Here is a 16,912-nt window from a genome sequence, read left to right as displayed (position 1 = left end):
GAGTGCAACGGCACAATCTTGGCTCACTGCAACCTTTGCCTCCTGGTTCAAGCGATTCTCCTTCCTCAGCCTCCTGAGCAGCTGGGATTACAGGCACCAGCCACCACACCTGGCTAATTTTGTATTTTTAGTACAGGTGGGGTTTCACCATGTTAGTCAGGCTGGTCTCAAACTCCTGACCTCAGGTGATCTGCCCACCTCAGCCTCCCAAAGTTCTCTTTTCTTAAGGCAGAAAAATTATTTCCGCCTTGTTTTTGTTTTGTGGGTTCCCCCCCCCACTCATTCTGTATTCTTACTAATGTCTGGAACAAGAATTGGTTTGGTCTCACTGAGTTCTCCCAGACTCCTTCTATCTCCCCAAGTAATGATAACATCTGCTAGAAATGGCATAGTAAGAAAACAAAGCAGCTATTTGTAAGTCCTTTAGAGTGTTTCTCCAAAGGTGGTGAATCTAAAACTCATCTAAGAAGTTTGTCAAAACTCAGATTTCTGCCGGGTGCAGTGGCTCACACCTGTAATCCCGGCACTTTGAGAAGCCAAGGTGGGCAGATCACTTGAGCTGAGGAGTTCGAGACCATCCTGGGCAAACATGGCAAAACCTCATCTCTACTAAAAATACAAAAATTAACCAGGTATGGTGGGGCACACTAGTAATCCCAGCTGCCTGGGAGGCTGAGGCTGGAGGATCACTTGAACCCAGGAGGCGTAGGTTGCAGTGAGCCGAGATTATACCACTGTACTCCAGACTGGGTGACACAGTGAGACTGTCTCAGAAAAAAAAAACAAAAAAACAAACAAAAAAAGCACCCTTAGATTTCTGGGTCACACTGCCCAAGATTCTGATTCAGTAGGGCTCAGTGGTTCCCAGGAAATTGCACTTTTGCATGCTGCTCCCAGGGAAACATTGCTTTGTGGATCATCATTTTCCACGGCTGGTAGTAACTGGATGAATATCCGGGATAACTTCTTATTCCTAACTATGACTGAACATCAGAATTTACAGTGGACGTTCATAAAAATTCCTGAGCCTCACACCCAGAAATTCTAATTTATTAGGTTTGGTTTAAGGCCCCAGCATCTGTATTAAAATATTAAAATATCACTTCCCCCGCCCTGACCCCAGCAACTACTGAACTCCTCAGGCAATTTTTTTCTGTGCACCCAAGATTGATAACCATGGCCTTAGCTCTTAACCTCACCATGTTGCTATATGAATACTCCTCACTGATTACCAGGTAGAAAGCTGGAAAAGGCTGCATTCCTTGTGAATAACTAATATGAGCAGAAAAGGCCAGCGTATCAGCTGCCCCTCATTTATACATTGATTAGGTCTCAAAATATGACAAGCTCAACTTAACTGTTAGGGAAAGAGTCAATGAGACCAGCAGATAGCTGGAAAACAGACCTTTTAGTTTATTTCTTAAGTGTCACATCAGTCTGTCCAGTGAAGTGATTAAAGGGGAGACTCCAAACTTCAACGGGAACCAGGCCCTGATTTGTTCGGGGTCATGAGCAATGGCTCGAAACCATCTTGTTTGCAGATACTTCTTTCATGCTATTAGGCTGTCAGTTGACAGAGTTTGCAAGATTTATGGCTCAAAACTCAAGTGTACACATGTGCGAGAGGGTGGGACGATGCGATGGGTTAGATGAGGTGAAAGGAGAGGAAGATGGCACGGGAGTGTGATTGTGAATACTCTGGACCACCCTTTTGGAATTCAACTTCCTAATCTCTCTAGGTTTTACCCCTTCCTCCCAGTAAACATGATTTTTAACTTCTGGAATTCCTGCTGTAGGAAATTAAAATAAAAAGTGAGACTTCTACCAGAAGCACCTAATTTATGAAAAGGTTCCTAGGGTGCTTTTAATAATAAAGTTTCATTGAGGGGAAAATAATAAAGATTTAGCATCCTTGTCCCTGGGGAATTGATGACCTTTCTCATTCTCTTGAGAAAACTCTGCTTTCATAGCCTAATTGACTCTCTTTTATTGGACCTGTTTGCTTCTTTCAAACTTATTTGAGTTGAAATTTCTGATGTTTAAAATCTCACATCCTCTTCACAGTGGGGACAGTAACTTTCTGCATCTTTCTGCTTTTCCCTCAGAGATTTTTCTCTTTCTGCCAGGAGGGAATCCCTTGCCTGTTGCTGTGAACAACACTTCTCACTAATTTCCCTCTTTCAGTTCCTCCGATCCAAACTGAAACTTCCTTTTTCTTTCTCTTATCTTTCTTTTCTTTTCTTTTTTCTTAAGACAGGGTCTCCCTCTGTCACCCAGGCTGGAGTGCAATGACACGAACACAGCTCACTGCAGCCTCGACTTCCTGGGCTCAGGTGATTTTCCCACCTCAGCTTCCTGAGTAGCTGGAACCACAGGCATGCACCACCATGCCCGGCTTATTTTTGTAGTTTTTTTGGAGAGACAGGGTTTCACCATGTTGCCTAGGCTGGTCTCAAACTACTGGGCTCAAGGGATCCTCCTGCTTCAGCCTCCCAAAGTGCTGGGATTACAGGCGTGACTCACTGCGCCCGGCCCAAACTGAAACTTTCTAAAAGGAAGTGTTACTCTATGACTCCCCTGCTTGAAGTCCTGGGACTCTCCAGGGTTTATTTAAATGCAAATTTAGTTTACGGAATTTGTCACTACTTCCAATCCCCAAGCCTGCTTACAGCACACAGACACACACGCGCGCACGCACACACACACACACGCACACACAGTTCTCCAGCCATAGTACATTATCCCTCATTCCTCAAAGTGGCAAGTTCTCATATTCTCTAGCATCTATGCACATTTTCTGCCTTTTGCTTGTTTTTGTCTTTCTCTGTAGAAAACCTCATAAACTCTAACCCTAACTTCAAGACTCAACTTAAATGCCACTTTCTCTGTGAAAATGGAAACTTTCCCCCTCAATCAGAGTGCGTCAGGGTCCTTTCTTCTTCTTTTTTTTAAAAATAGAGACAGGGTCTTGCTGTGTTGCCCAGGCTGCCCTCGAACTCCTGGGCTCCAGCAATCCTCCTGCCTCAATCTCCCAATGTGCTGAGATTACAGGCATGAGCCACTGCACCTGGCCAAAGGGTCCCTTCTTTATATGCTTCTCTAGCCCCCTATTCACACTCCCATGCTAAACATTCAGTGTTATCATTGCATTAGGATTGCTTCCTTCAGAAAGCGCATATGAAAGCCGTTTCTGTCTCGTTTTTCTCCATTGCCTCATAAAATTCTGAGCAAATCATAGTCAACACTTTAAAAACTGTCTGTTGGCTGGCCAGGCATGGTGGCTCACGCCTGTAATCCTAGCCCTTTGGGAAGCCGAGGCGGGTGGATCACGAAGTCAGGAGATCGAGACCATCCTGGCTAACATGGTGAAACCTCGTCTCTACTAAAAATACAAAAAATTAGCCGGGTGCGGTGGCATGTGCCTGTAGTCCCAGCTACCCGGGAGGCTGAGGCAGGAGAATTGCTTGAGCCTGGGAGGCGGAGGTTGCAGTGAGCCAAGATTGGGCCACTGCACTCCAGCCTGGGTGACAGAGCGAGACTCTGTCTCCAAAAAAAAAAACAAACAAACAAACAAAAAAAACTGTTGGCCAATGAAATAAAAGAAAAAACTAAAATCACTATTAGAAGTTAGCAAAAAAAAAAAAAAAAAATAGATCTTGGGAGCAGAGGGAAAGGCTTAGAGTAAAATAAGTAGGGAATAAATCAAAGTGTCCATTTTGCCCCATTGCTACAGCACCTAGTTTAACTACCAAGCCTACCTAGGACCACTGTACTCTGGAAGCCCACTAGAGCAAGAAGAGCTAGAAATGGTGCTTCAGTGGGATAGCTATTTGCTAAGCCACATTTCTAGTAATGGTGGTTTGGGGAAGGGGCAATTATTGCCCAATTCCACATGAATTTATAACGATGTTGTAGATGAAGTAGTGTAGGTAGGTGCAGCAGTGGCTTGGCCAAGGCGTCTCATTAGTGGCACCGCAATATTCTGTGTCCTCTGAATCCAGTGCTTCACTTTGACTACACTACTGAAAGCCAAATTTCATTATTTCTGACAATTGGGGAGATAATTTTGTACCATATGTATTCATAATGCGCTTGATAATTTATCTATTACAAATCATGGAGACTTTTTGTTTAAATGCAAACCAAGTACTATAAATCTCATTGGTTTTCAAGTTTTATCACTCAAATTCAAATAGGTACATGTGTGGGCCGACGGGGTGTGCAGTGGGCTGCAAATGCCATCAGAAACACGTGGAACACAAGTGACAGAGGTCCTAAGGGCACATTTTAAGTCTGCTTCTCCTGGTTCTGTGTATGTCTGAGGGTAAAATCAGGTTTTCCTTATCGAGAAGAGCAGTGACTTCTGCCCTTACTCCTGTCTTCTTCCTACCGGACTCTGGGTCTCATGAGTGTTCACAAGCATGGCGCCTGGTTTGTTCTGTGGCATTTGCCCCATTCTCCTCCTTTGCACTGACTAATGCAGAAATGTCACCGGCCACCCTACAGTTGCCTTGCAGATGTGGCGCAAGTTCCCTGTCCTTGCACTAGCGCTGCCTGCTATTTTGCGGATGGCAGAGGAGAGCTGCCTTGTGTTTTCCAATGTTCCTCCTGAACGCTGTGAAACCACTCTTTTATTTCATTTTTGTCTTTCCCTTTCCCAAGGACTCTGACACGAGCCCCTGAGAAAAACGGCGGGGTCAGGAAACAATCTTAAGCTATGAAACCTGCTGTACTTAAAGGTGCCACTCTCCTCTGAAAAAAAATTCATTATCCTTACACTTAGTTTATTAGCTTCCGTTATTGCTTTCTCCCAGGACGCCCTTTGTGGTTCAGGCAACAATACACCTAACGAATTCATTCCGCCAGCCCTCCAAATAGCTGGACAAGTATAAGGCTGGACAGCCTTGAGATTGGGGTGGCGAGGATGGCATGACATAGCTTAGATCAGTCAGATCCATCATTTACTATGTATCTGTAGTGAAACAAAGTTTATAAACAAACGGCTAGAAGACCCCTGATATCTTTGAGGGGAATAATTTGCTCAAGGCTACCATTATGCAGCATCGCACGTGGCATCCTAATCTAGGTCCTTTTAATTCCAGAGCCACTACACTTTTAATACTTCTCATTTCTTGTCTAATTTTCTATCTTTAGCCTAGTGCTGGACAACACATGTAAAATACATGTTGGATGAATGAACGAGGACAGGAACCAAAACACATTGTGTGGGAAGATGCTAATGCCCTGTAAACACTATGAAGATCATGGCCGAGTAAAACAGTTGTGGATAGTGGTTTCTTTTGAAGTATCACTTACTTAAAACACTATCTCTGAGGAACTGATTTGGAGTGAGAATTTACTATATAACAGCTTGAATTTTTGAAGACATAGCTCAGAGTCTTTATGACCTGCTTGAGAGTTGATAATGGATTTTGACAATAATGATTTGAAGTGAATTTCTTTTCCCGAAGACTTTAAAAATATCTCATGAAGTTTTCTATAAGATGTGTCTGTTAGGCATGTGAAATTTTAAATAATACATTTATAAATCAGTACCTTATTTTCTTCCACTGAGAATATAGCAAAAGTTGGTGACCTTTATGTCTGTCATAATAAAAATGACTTCTATTTACTTGAGAAGGACCTTTTAATCCTAAGAGATCCTTCATTTTTATGTGGTTGTCGCTATTCACTATAAGAATCACTTCACTTTCTTCTACAATGTAGTTTCACATCTGAAAGCAGTTGATTTTTCTACTTAGGAAATGTTACATTACATTCAAGAGCTACACCTACCCTATCTTATTATTATTTTTTTTTTGGAAAGTTGGGTTGTAGTAATAATGTTTATTTGTTGTTGTGATAGGGATAGCATACTAGGTTTTGCATGGAATAATCTATATGGACACATTTGCATCCACATACAGAAATACATACAAAAGAATGTATCCTTTGACCTACAGGCACATGCACGCCTGCCCATCATTTCATAGATATGTAAGATTTTCCTCCCACCGTGGGCGTTTGGTTTATACAATGATGGGGCTTCTTTTATACTTACTAATTCTATTCTCTATTATATTCCAAAAGCCATCATATTATCTGCCTTGTCCAATTTTCTTCTGTGTCTCATTAAAGTGGCCTGCTGTGAAGCTAATTTTTCTTGCTCATTTTATTGATATTTTGGGAGAGTGAGATTTTTTCCAAGCCATTCCTGCTTCAGTATAGGGTTGTGGTAGCTGTCAAAAGAAGGCTTTGAAACCATCCTCTAAAATAAATAAAAAATAAAAGCAGCTTATTTTAGTATCTCTATTGAAATACAAATTACAGGCCATTGATCTTTTCCACAATTCCTTGCAATTATTTCTGTTGACGATTTTTTTAAAATAAGACAATGCAATATATTTTAAAAAGCAAATAAATAAACCTCAAGGATAAGAATTGCACCAAATGGGTTTGTAAATGGCTGTGACACACATTTAGTAGGAGAAAAGCATCATAAAACCTAGCTTTGTTGTTATTTACTACAATCCACAATAAAGTGTGTCAGTCATTAGGTTAACACAACTCTGAATCAGTCTAAAATCTCACCATGGAGGGACTGTTTAACTCTACAAGTTTAGACTGTCTTATTCTTGTCAGGTCAACTAGTTTTCCAAAATATGCATAAATTTTAAATAATGTATAATGATACCAGAAAACAGAAATGCATCCCTGTTTCCCTCCCCTCAGCCCCTTGCCTTCCCTTCTTTGAAAAGAAAAAAAGAATTGAGGTGATGCCAAAACAAGGAACATCCTTTCCTCTAAGAGATGGCAGTCTGTGCTTTGCCTTTGGGGGCCAGATGGCAGTGAGAACGTTGAGGAACCAGCAAATGTCTGGGTTTGCACCCTGGCTCTTTCCCTTTCTCTCTCTCAGCCCCACCTTGCCCTTCTGCAAACTGGGGATAATTAGACTCTTATAGGACGGTTGAGGGGATGTATATAAGTAAAGAAAATAGTGATTGACATATAGTAAGCACTATGTCATGTTTGTTAAGAAAATAAAGAGCTCAATAGCTGGACTAGATCGAAACAAAATAAATGTTTAGAATAATACGTTGCTGTTTTTAGTAAAACAAAGAAAATGTGTACCTTCTGTAGACTCATTTAAGATTTGGCATTGAGAGACAGAAATCATTTTGCTTTGTGATATATTCTCAAGTAGAATTCTTAGAATGTGGCAGAGTCCGGAGAAAGAGTGGAAGGGGACACATTAACATCACATTACCAGGGGCAAGTCCAGAAGGGCCAGTAGAAATCACAGTGCTGCTTCTGAAGGTTTTATCAGCTCAGCAGTGAATTCTGAATTCAGCTTATCTCTTCCAACCTGCTCCACAGGCCACTAGTTCTATAAATTGTTAATAGGTGTGTTTGGAAGAGGTTCCTAGGTAAAATAAGTTTGTCAAATACTGAGTTAAACAAACTTAAATAACAATCCTTGGAGCTTTTAATATATTTAGTATAAATTTCAGTACTGCAGGAAATGCACATATTATGTATCACATCCCAAATTTATTTCACCATGATTTCCTTGTAAAAAATCATACAACTATCGTTATCCTCCTAAAGATAGAATGTCATTTGGGAAATAAGTAACATTTTGGTCCTTGTCGTATTACACAGACAAGAACTGAATAAAATAAAGTTGGTTTAGAAAGAAAGAAAATAATGTTAATGATAGCTAGCATCCAAATGACATTTTACAGCTTAAACATATTTTCATATATATTATTTCCTTCAAAAGCATATTTTCCTCTTTTGTATTCACTCACTAACCCTCCATCTCACTCCTTTTCTCCTGAAATCATATAAATGGGCATTCTGAGCACTGAATCATTCCAGTTCCAAGTAAATACCTCCTCATAGAACACTTTGCTTATGTGCTCAAAGAGGTGACAAAAAGACAACACTGTTTTTGGTAGCAAAAAAGTAGAAATCATCTAATATTTACCAAGGGAGGAATGAGTAAACAAAGAGCATGCAAACAATGCGTGTTCGTTAAAATGAATGAATTAGCTTTATGTGCAATAGCATGCGTAAGTCTTAAAAACATGATTTTGGGTGATAGTAAATGGGACAAAATTAAAATAAGCAAAAATAGGACTGAGTTTTGAAATCACTGGCAAATATCAATGAGAAAGAAGAGGTGCTATAGATAATGGCGACCTGAATGGAGTTAATTGCTCATCAAAACTTAGGTGATCTTATCATTAGTGTAAGGCTTGGGAAATTAGGGGGGCTAAAGTTGTTTTAATGCTCGCTCTCTCTCACTGTTTCTTGTATTGCTCTATATTTCCTGAGAATCTCATTCACATTCAAGATTTCATTTATCAACGTATATGCTAATGACACACACATTTATATTTCCACCTCACACTTTTCTCTTGAACGGGAGGTCTGTATATTCATTGGCTGGCTGAACATCTTCACTTGGATATCTCGCAGACAACTCAAACATAGCATGTCTCAAACAATTCATGATTCCACACTACTCTCTCCCTCTTCTATGAAGAAACACATAAAAGTCACTCCTCTTCTTGTATTTTCCATCTCTTACTTACAAATGGCACTCAAGCCAAAACCCATTTGTCATTCCCAACCCACCACCCTTCCCCACATCCAGTGTCATCGTATTCTTTCCCTTCTCCTTTCTACGTTTCTTTCCAGCCCAGCTCCTCCTCTATGTCTCTTCTTCCACTACCCCAGTTCATTTACCTTAATGATGTTTTCCTGGGTTATTGTACTATCTCTTTAAACATATCGCTGCTTCTAGTATGGTTGTTTTCCAAAACATCCTCTACATGTTTGTCACATCTTCCCTAATCTCACATATTTCATATATATATCTATTTTCCATCACATCCTTTGGTGACCTGCCTTAATTTTTAGATTAAATATAAACTCCTTAGCATGGCTTCAAAAGTCTTGATTTGTTAAACTAATAACTACTACCCTTTAAAGATGATCTTCTACAGCCCTTTCTTTCTCTTCTTCCTCTTCCCCTCTTCCCCACCGTTGGCTCTGCCAAACTCCAGCCATATCAACCTACACATCTTTTCCTATGTATTTCTGCATGCCTGGAATGCCCTTCTCAGTCCTGTCCTTTGATGTGCCTCTATACTTCCTTTCAGACTGTAAGAAATACAGTTATCTTGTACTCCTTCACAAATCAAAAACTATGCAATAGAAGTGTCACATACATTTTGACTTATAGTTATTTTGATCCATTAGAATAAAAACAGTGAAAATGAGGGCATTGAATTTCTAAAAGCAATATTTGAATCCATTGGACTGGTAAATCTAAATAATCTAGAATAGTCTGATATAGAATATCATTTCAGAAATAAAATAGGAATTTTTATGGTTTATGAAACATTTGTGGGATTCATAAATGCAAATAAATAATCCTTCAGTTTTAAGCATCTTCAGGGCAGGAACTGTGTGTGTTTATTTTATAAGCTCCATAGCCCATAATTCCATGCTTTATACATACTAGGCACTCAGCAAATGTTTGTTATATTGAAAAACTGATTATGTTGTCATGGGAACACATGATATCAAAACATTTAATAATAGGTATTATTTTACCTCACAGAAATAAGGCAAATGTTAACTAGGCATATGCACAAAGTTTTTGAAATACCACTTTGAAAATGTGAATGTTACTGTGTTTATGTACCCATTGTAAATAAATGATTCAAGGAAAAGGTGTTTGCAAGATATCTAGAAATATATTTAGTTTCCTGTATACTAAAAAAATGCCTTTAAACATACTTTATATTGCTTTCTTACACTCTGGACTTTTTAAAAAATATATTACTTTCAAAGATACCTTCTTGTAAAATAATGAGAACAAATTGCCATTAGTTCCATTCAATATAACAGGAAAATATGTCATAAAGAAGAATTCTTTTTTTGAAAGCATTTAAACAAATGACACATTAACCACTTTTTACCCACAATTCATAATTTAAAACAGAAAAGTAGGGGAATGAAGCAATAATATATTGAGGTAGGAAGCATTTAGATAACACAAGTGAAAAGTAACCCTTAAATATTTGCCAATCTATTTCCTCAGTTTTCACTTTCTTGTCATGAATGCTTATACACAAGTAGTGACTTGATAATTAGCTCATTGATAGTGATTTGGTATAAATTAAGTACTTGTTTCCATTCAGGGACACCAGAGTGATTAGCAACTGGGACAGGTGAATCTAATTTACAATTTTTTCCTTTAACTGAATTTCACAGGGCATACAGTTAAATAGACAACATTACTATTTTTCTCCTTGGTAAATAAGTTAAATGATTATTTTTGTTTCAAAAGTGAATATTACATGCCTAGGAGTGAGAAATTAGATAAAATATATATGTATGTTGGAGCTTTCTTAATTAAAAAGGAAAGCATATATTATTGTAATGTTTAGACATGACAATATTTAAGGAAGAAAGCTTTAACTTTATATACTCTGAAATGTGTATGTTTGAACAATAAAACATCAGCTACAGTTCTACTGATGGGTATTTTACTTCTGTCTCATAACAGCCAGTGTGTTCTGTGTCATAGAAAACGGTATTATTGTGTATCTGGGGACTTGTTGAAGAAAATGGAGTGAAAGGTACAAACTTATGGAATATTTCCTCACTATAGATCATTCTCTGAGACCATAAGTAGAGGATTATTTGTTCCATGGGCAAATATATATGATTATTTTTGTAATAAAGTACTGAAGTATCCTGTATCATATACTATACTATTTAATTTATACCGTATAATTTCTCTTCTATTGAAATAATTTTGATAAATTATTTGAATGATGTCTGCCTTTTTGTTTTTTCACAAATTGCAGAACCAGGGCATTCTGCTGCTTTTCTCTGCCTGGGGATATAGAGAGAAATATGGAGCTAGATAAAGAAATGGGCAAAGACAGAGAGAAAGAGAGAGAGAGACCCATACATATACTTTTTAAAGCAGATAAAAGCACTGAACAAGAGGCTAAAGAAAAAATTATTATTTTTATCATTTGATTGGCTGCTGCTAACTTTTCAGAAGAGATTAATCATCATCAGAAAAACATTTTGAAGTCCTATGCCCCATGCTGTTTTCATACTCTTTAAAGCCATTTAGACTGATAGAATCCTCGTATTCTAGGAGCTTATGACCCAAGCCAGATAATGCGGCATGAATCTATAAGGCAGAGATTGTAGAATAAAGCTCGGAATAAATATCAAAAAAAAAAAAAAGGAATTAAAAATTAGAAGGCCCAAAATGCAGGAGTGTGATGAGTAGACAAAAAGAACTTTGCTGAAGTTTGATCTTTTCTAATACAGTATCTTCAAATAGGTCTGGCACCAAGATCATTATCATATGGCTACCTCCCAGATCCTGGATCAGGCCTACTGTTTATTAAGATAAATGTAGACACGTCTGCAAAGGAGCACTTCAAAATAACAGACCTTCATAATGCTGTGTGACTAGTTTGGGATTTGTTTTTTGTTTTAATCATTGCTTTATCATTTGCCTTAGGTCATTTCTGAAAGCCCTATTGTGTCATTAACTGAATTATGCTATGATTTGAGTTTATTCCTTCATATTTAAAAAGCCTTCCAGGACTATCCTTCTCTGATTTGCACTTAAGTGAAATTAAAAGTCTGACTGTTAGGTAGTGCCTTTAGACCAGCTGAAATAGCTCCTCCAGCTTACGTCCTTAGGGCCTCGTTAGGAAGAGGCTCACAGCATGCCTGACACCGGTTAATATTTGCAGAGCTCATTTACCTACATTGGAAACAAACCAAAAAAAGGCCAGATGAATTCTACTGAAGTGAAGAAGGCTGAGGGCATCAGTGCCCATCATCTGGGTCACCCTTCTCTGTCGGAAGTGGATGACCCACCAGGCAGTGACTCCTTAGCTCTTTGAAACTGACAAAACCTGTTGAAAATGGGTCTTCAGGTATGTTTGTTGTTAAAGATTCCACAGGACAAAATAGGTAACCCATAACCTTGAGAGAAAAGGGGAGTAAAAAAAGGATTCCTTCCCAAAACAATATATGTCCTTTACATGGACCAAGTTAGCCATAGTTTGTTTTCCCAGAGGATAAAGGATAATATTCACACGATCGTGGCTCTGCCCTGATGGAATTGTAAGCCACGGTTTTTTCCTAATTAGAAATACAGAATATGGTGGTTTACAGTTACTTTGAGAAAATAAGTTGTTAAGTTTCCTCATTACTATTTCTCCTTACTCTATGGCATTTAGACTAATGTATCCATTTGAGGAAAATCTGTGCCAATAGTTATGGACCAAAAGTTCTCAACAACTGAACACTGTCTTCTCTATCAACCCTGATATCAGACTTACTTAGGAGTCATTACTTTTGTCTAATTATGAGGATGACTTTGGATAAAACTAGATAAGTGTACTTAAATAATATGCACTAGCTTATTAATCCAGAAGCATTCTCAACCTTTGTTTATCATTAGATTAGCTAGAGATTTTAGAGTACCTGATCTGTTTGCTAAAGAGGCTCTGGTCTATTGTATCTCTTTCTATAAAAGCACAATGGAGAAAACATGTCAAAACTCTTGAACCCTAGTAGGATTTTTAAAACTTAATTACTGTCAAAAAAAAATTCAGTGACCAATCCAGGCTCAAGATTTTTCTAATGTCTCTTTTACCGATCTCTTTCCTTCTGTTTACTGCCAGTATTCTTGAGGGAATAAAATGTCTTCAGCATTGCCCAGAATTCTCCTTACCAATGATTTCTATTAAATTTTCCCATTAACCATAAATTTTTCTTCAAAACCATATTTTTGTATCCTTAGGTTGCTTCTAGAGTTCTGACTTTTTTGAGAAGACTTCTTGAATTTGGAATTGTTAGGAAAGTGTATGTACACACTTTGGGGCTTTTGTTATTGGATACTACATGACTCCAGTGGACATTCTGAAGAACAGAGTGTGAATTTCCCTTTTCCCTGGACCCTCACTAACAACTGTGTATTAACTTTGTTAATCTTTATCAGTTTTATGGATGACAATTTAAATTATGAGCCATGACTTTTAAATTGTCTACTTTAAGAAAATGTTATTAGTAGTCACTCTGCTTTTCCTCTTTGCAACATTTGATTCTATTGGGTGTATCCAACCACTTGAACCTCTCATCTCCTGACTTTTTATAATATTATTTCTTAATTGATTTCTATCCAACTATTATTATTTAGTCTCTTTAGCTAATGTTCATTAATAGTAAACATACTGGCCTTGGCTCTGACCTTCTCAATGCTTATACTCTCTGCTCTAATAAACAGATCCTATGGGTATATTCAGAGTTTCAAACTCTGTATACTTCAAAGCTGATCTGTGAAACATGGCCTATGTGACATTTCTGCTTGATATAGTAGCTATCTTCAAATATCTGATGGAGAGTGGGACTTATAAGACTGCTGGACAATGCCAAAGGCACTTTTATTATTCTGTTTTATTGTCACGACAGCTGAAGTTCAGTAAGAAGTAACTTGTTTGTCCAAGGTTATATGGTCAATAAGTGGGAGATTTAAGACCCTCTGGAAAAGGCCCTTTGGAAGTGTAGAAGTCTACCACTGCCTTTCAGGCAGGACTAAAACTTGGTGTTAGGATAACAATACCTCAGCGTAGGAACATCTGGAGTTAAGCCCACCACTTCACAGTGGAATGTCCCCAACAAATAGAATCATGTCTTTGTGTTCACTTTGCTCAGCTGCAAAGTGAGGATAATGATATCTACTTCATTAAGGTTGTTGTGATCATTAAATAACATATATAATAGTACTCTGTTAATTTTAAAGCTCCATAGGTAAAGGGAGGAGTGTGTGTGCACATGCTATTGTTTGTGTCTAGAGGCAGTGTACTATGAGGTCATCCCCTGAAAAATAATTTTTACAACTTCCTTTTGAAACATATCATATCTTTACTGTCTAGAATTTTTTGTATTAAGCTACTCTTCTCATGCAGGTTGATGTGTGGTCAGTTCAGTTTGGGCCATAAAAATCTACAGAAGAAAACACTTCAGTGGGGTTGGACCTCACTACATTACTCAAGTGTCACTTATATCCAACCTTTCTTCCCTTTCTATGTAATCATGATTTTACTTCAGGCCTTCTTTATCTTTAACCTTCCTTCGTCCAGTCCCTTCTCTTGAATCAATCTTGTAATAACAGAATATCACTTCTAATAAAAGAAAGATCACTGCCAATGGAGTGATCTTTCTAATAACAGAAAGTTGATTCTGTCACTTCATTGATTATAAATATTTAATGGCCCAATGTTGCATATAGAATGCAATGTAAATGTTGCAACATCACTTTTAAAGCTTCTCCAACCTCCCCTATCCTCCTGGTCACTAGGCCATTCTTCTTTTAGTACATCAGGCTTGGAGCTCGGCAAATATGATGACTGATAGTGATTCTTTTTCTTCTATATATTTTTCCTACTATAGATGTTATGAACATTAAGACTTCAGGAATATTGTAAAATTTAACATGTCTAACTACATTCAAGTAATTTCTTATGTATTCATTTATTATCACTAAAACTTACTAACCTCTTTCTAGAAAAAAAATACCTTTGACAGTTTTATCATTTCATGATTTCCTAACAGAAAATAGTGGCATGTAAAGCTGAAAGCTAAGATGTTAATTTTTTTTTTCTATTGTTCGAGGGAGTGATCTATATGGCAGTAATTAGTAGATTCTGCTTGTGCTTTTCTATATGTAATGGTTATTTGTATTGAACTTTAATTTTTGGATACCCAGAGATGAGAAGCTTTGCCTAAAGGCACATCCTGGTTAAAAATATTTTTCCCGTTATCTGTTGTTGTTGAAAACACTGGGGAGAATATACTTTTCGTCCAAGTACTGTATTCTGAATAATGTTTCATCCATAAGGATTACAGATCTTTGCAGTCTGTCAGCATCATGTTTCTGCATAATTATTCACCTTGTCAATTACTCATATTTGAGTGTTGAATGAGTTGTGTTAGGTTGAATGATACTGATCCCAGAATATTATCTGGAACGTGTTCCTTAAAATGAGCTGATAGATGAATTTGTTTTATCATATGCTATCTTCTAAAATTAGGCTTAGAAAATAATATATGGTTAAGAGTTCAGTTAATGAGATGCTGGGTGATTAAGTCATTTCTATGCCTAATTGATGGATAATGAGTTCATTGGGAAAAATTTATTGAGTTTCAGAACCAAGTGACAGGTTACTCTAGTTGTTGACAGTAACAGGGAAAACACAAGATCTCAAAGTTAGTAAATTCACTGAATATTTTCTCTTAGAATAGAGTTTGTTACAAAATAAATATTTTTCTTAAGATTCAAATTATTTTCAGCAATTTTTTATTTAAGAACAGAGAGTTGAATTTGTAATATTTATGGGAAAAATCCAAGGAGACAGAAGAGAAGCAGGGACCTTGTTTTACTTAACTTCTGGCCTTGAATTTAGCCTGACACATTGTAATAGTTCAGAGAATGTTTGATGGATAAAGGAATGAATGGTTAAGTGGATGGATGGATGGATGGATGGATAGATGAGTGAGTGAATGAAATAAAGACTTGTCAAGAAGTCAGGGAATTAGATATAATGAATGGAAATAATAGATTACCAAATTCCTATGCACATGATATACCTGAGAATCATTTCATGCCAACACACATCATATCACTCCAAATTAATGCCATTTTTCAAAATGATTGCTTTGATCCTTATAGGCTACTATTCGAAGTAATTTTGAAAGTATTATTTTGTTTTTAATTTCAAAACAACTTTAAAGCTATATAAGAAACCAACTTCATTGATTCATTATTTGATAAGAACATCTCAAAAATTTAACCAAATGTTAACCAAGTATGTTAGTCACCTAACGTACTTGCTGACATAAATGACATACTTGCTTAGGTGACATAAATGCTGTCACCTAAGTTAGTAGAGAGCAAGGGGCTCAAAATGACTTTTGTTTCTCTAAAATCACATAGGCCTTCAGAGGAGTTTTGCTTTTTGAGGTGTATCTCAAAGAATATGTGGCAGTTTCTGAGTGAAAATTCCAAAAAGAATTTGAACAATAGATTTACTGGAATAAGTTTGTTGTTTTCAAGGAGACTATTTTGAAGGGGCAAACCCCATTTGAAAGTATGTCTAAAAAGCAGTCTTATTAAACTGTTACCCATACCTCAAAGCTACGTTTAATGGCATAAAGATTACTGTGATTTGACATACCAAGAAAGTTACAAATATGTATTGATGAATTTCTATAAAATTAAGACTTTTTTTCAAATATGTATTCATTCTGGGTAAATGTTAGTTATTCCTGTGACCTCCTGAGCAGCAATAATTCAGTCGTATTTATTTTGTAAAATATTTCCCTGGTCAGAATGAAATTCTGAAATTTTAAAATATAGTACTAATGGTTTGTCAATGCCAGGAGGATCAAGGATTTTTGTTTTATTAAATAAACATTTTTATTGCATTAGCTATTGTGGTATAAAGCAATAAAATGATATGCCGCCTTTTCTACTGCCTTGCCCCCTTTTATGGGAATGCTAGTATGACCTACATGCTAATTAATTTAGTAAAATCATTTGAAAGGTTTTGGTTTTCTAAATGTGTTGGATTTTTCCTGTGAAGAAACTGACCTTGGTAGAAATTGCCTTTACTTTAATAACTAGTTCACCTCTAACCTGAGTCTTCAAGACTCTCCTTTTAAAGGAACAAAAGTAAAATAAAAATGAGGTACTCTGAAATAGTAAACACTAACACAGAATCCTATATACTACCTTATTTTGGAACATTCATGGCTATTGTGTAGAACAGAGACAAAGGAAGTGTAAAAGAAG

At 37.2% G+C, this 16,912-nt stretch overlaps 1 protein-coding gene across 20 annotated transcripts in view, besides 1 other annotated feature; it reads left to right on the top strand.

The window, feature by feature from the left end:
* Positions 1–16,912, top strand: part of SOX5 (SRY-box transcription factor 5) — a 1,033,147-nt gene that overhangs the window by 387,862 nt on the left and 628,373 nt on the right. The gene's annotated exons all lie outside the window — the stretch shown is intronic.
* Positions 1,468–1,668: a silencer, noted in NCBI's record as "peak1614 fragment used in MPRA reporter construct". NCBI's record gives its function as "represses an SCP1 promoter by STARR-seq MPRAs in K562 erythroleukemia cells {active_cell/tissue: K562}" and the evidence as "EXISTENCE:reporter gene assay evidence [ECO:0000049][PMID:32103011]".

This window comes from Homo sapiens, chromosome 12 (assembly GCF_000001405.40).
Source record: "Homo sapiens chromosome 12, GRCh38.p14 Primary Assembly".
In the NCBI taxonomy this organism is placed as follows: Eukaryota; Metazoa; Chordata; class Mammalia; order Primates; family Hominidae; genus Homo; species Homo sapiens.
This window is presented reverse-complemented; position numbering and strand designations above follow the sequence as displayed.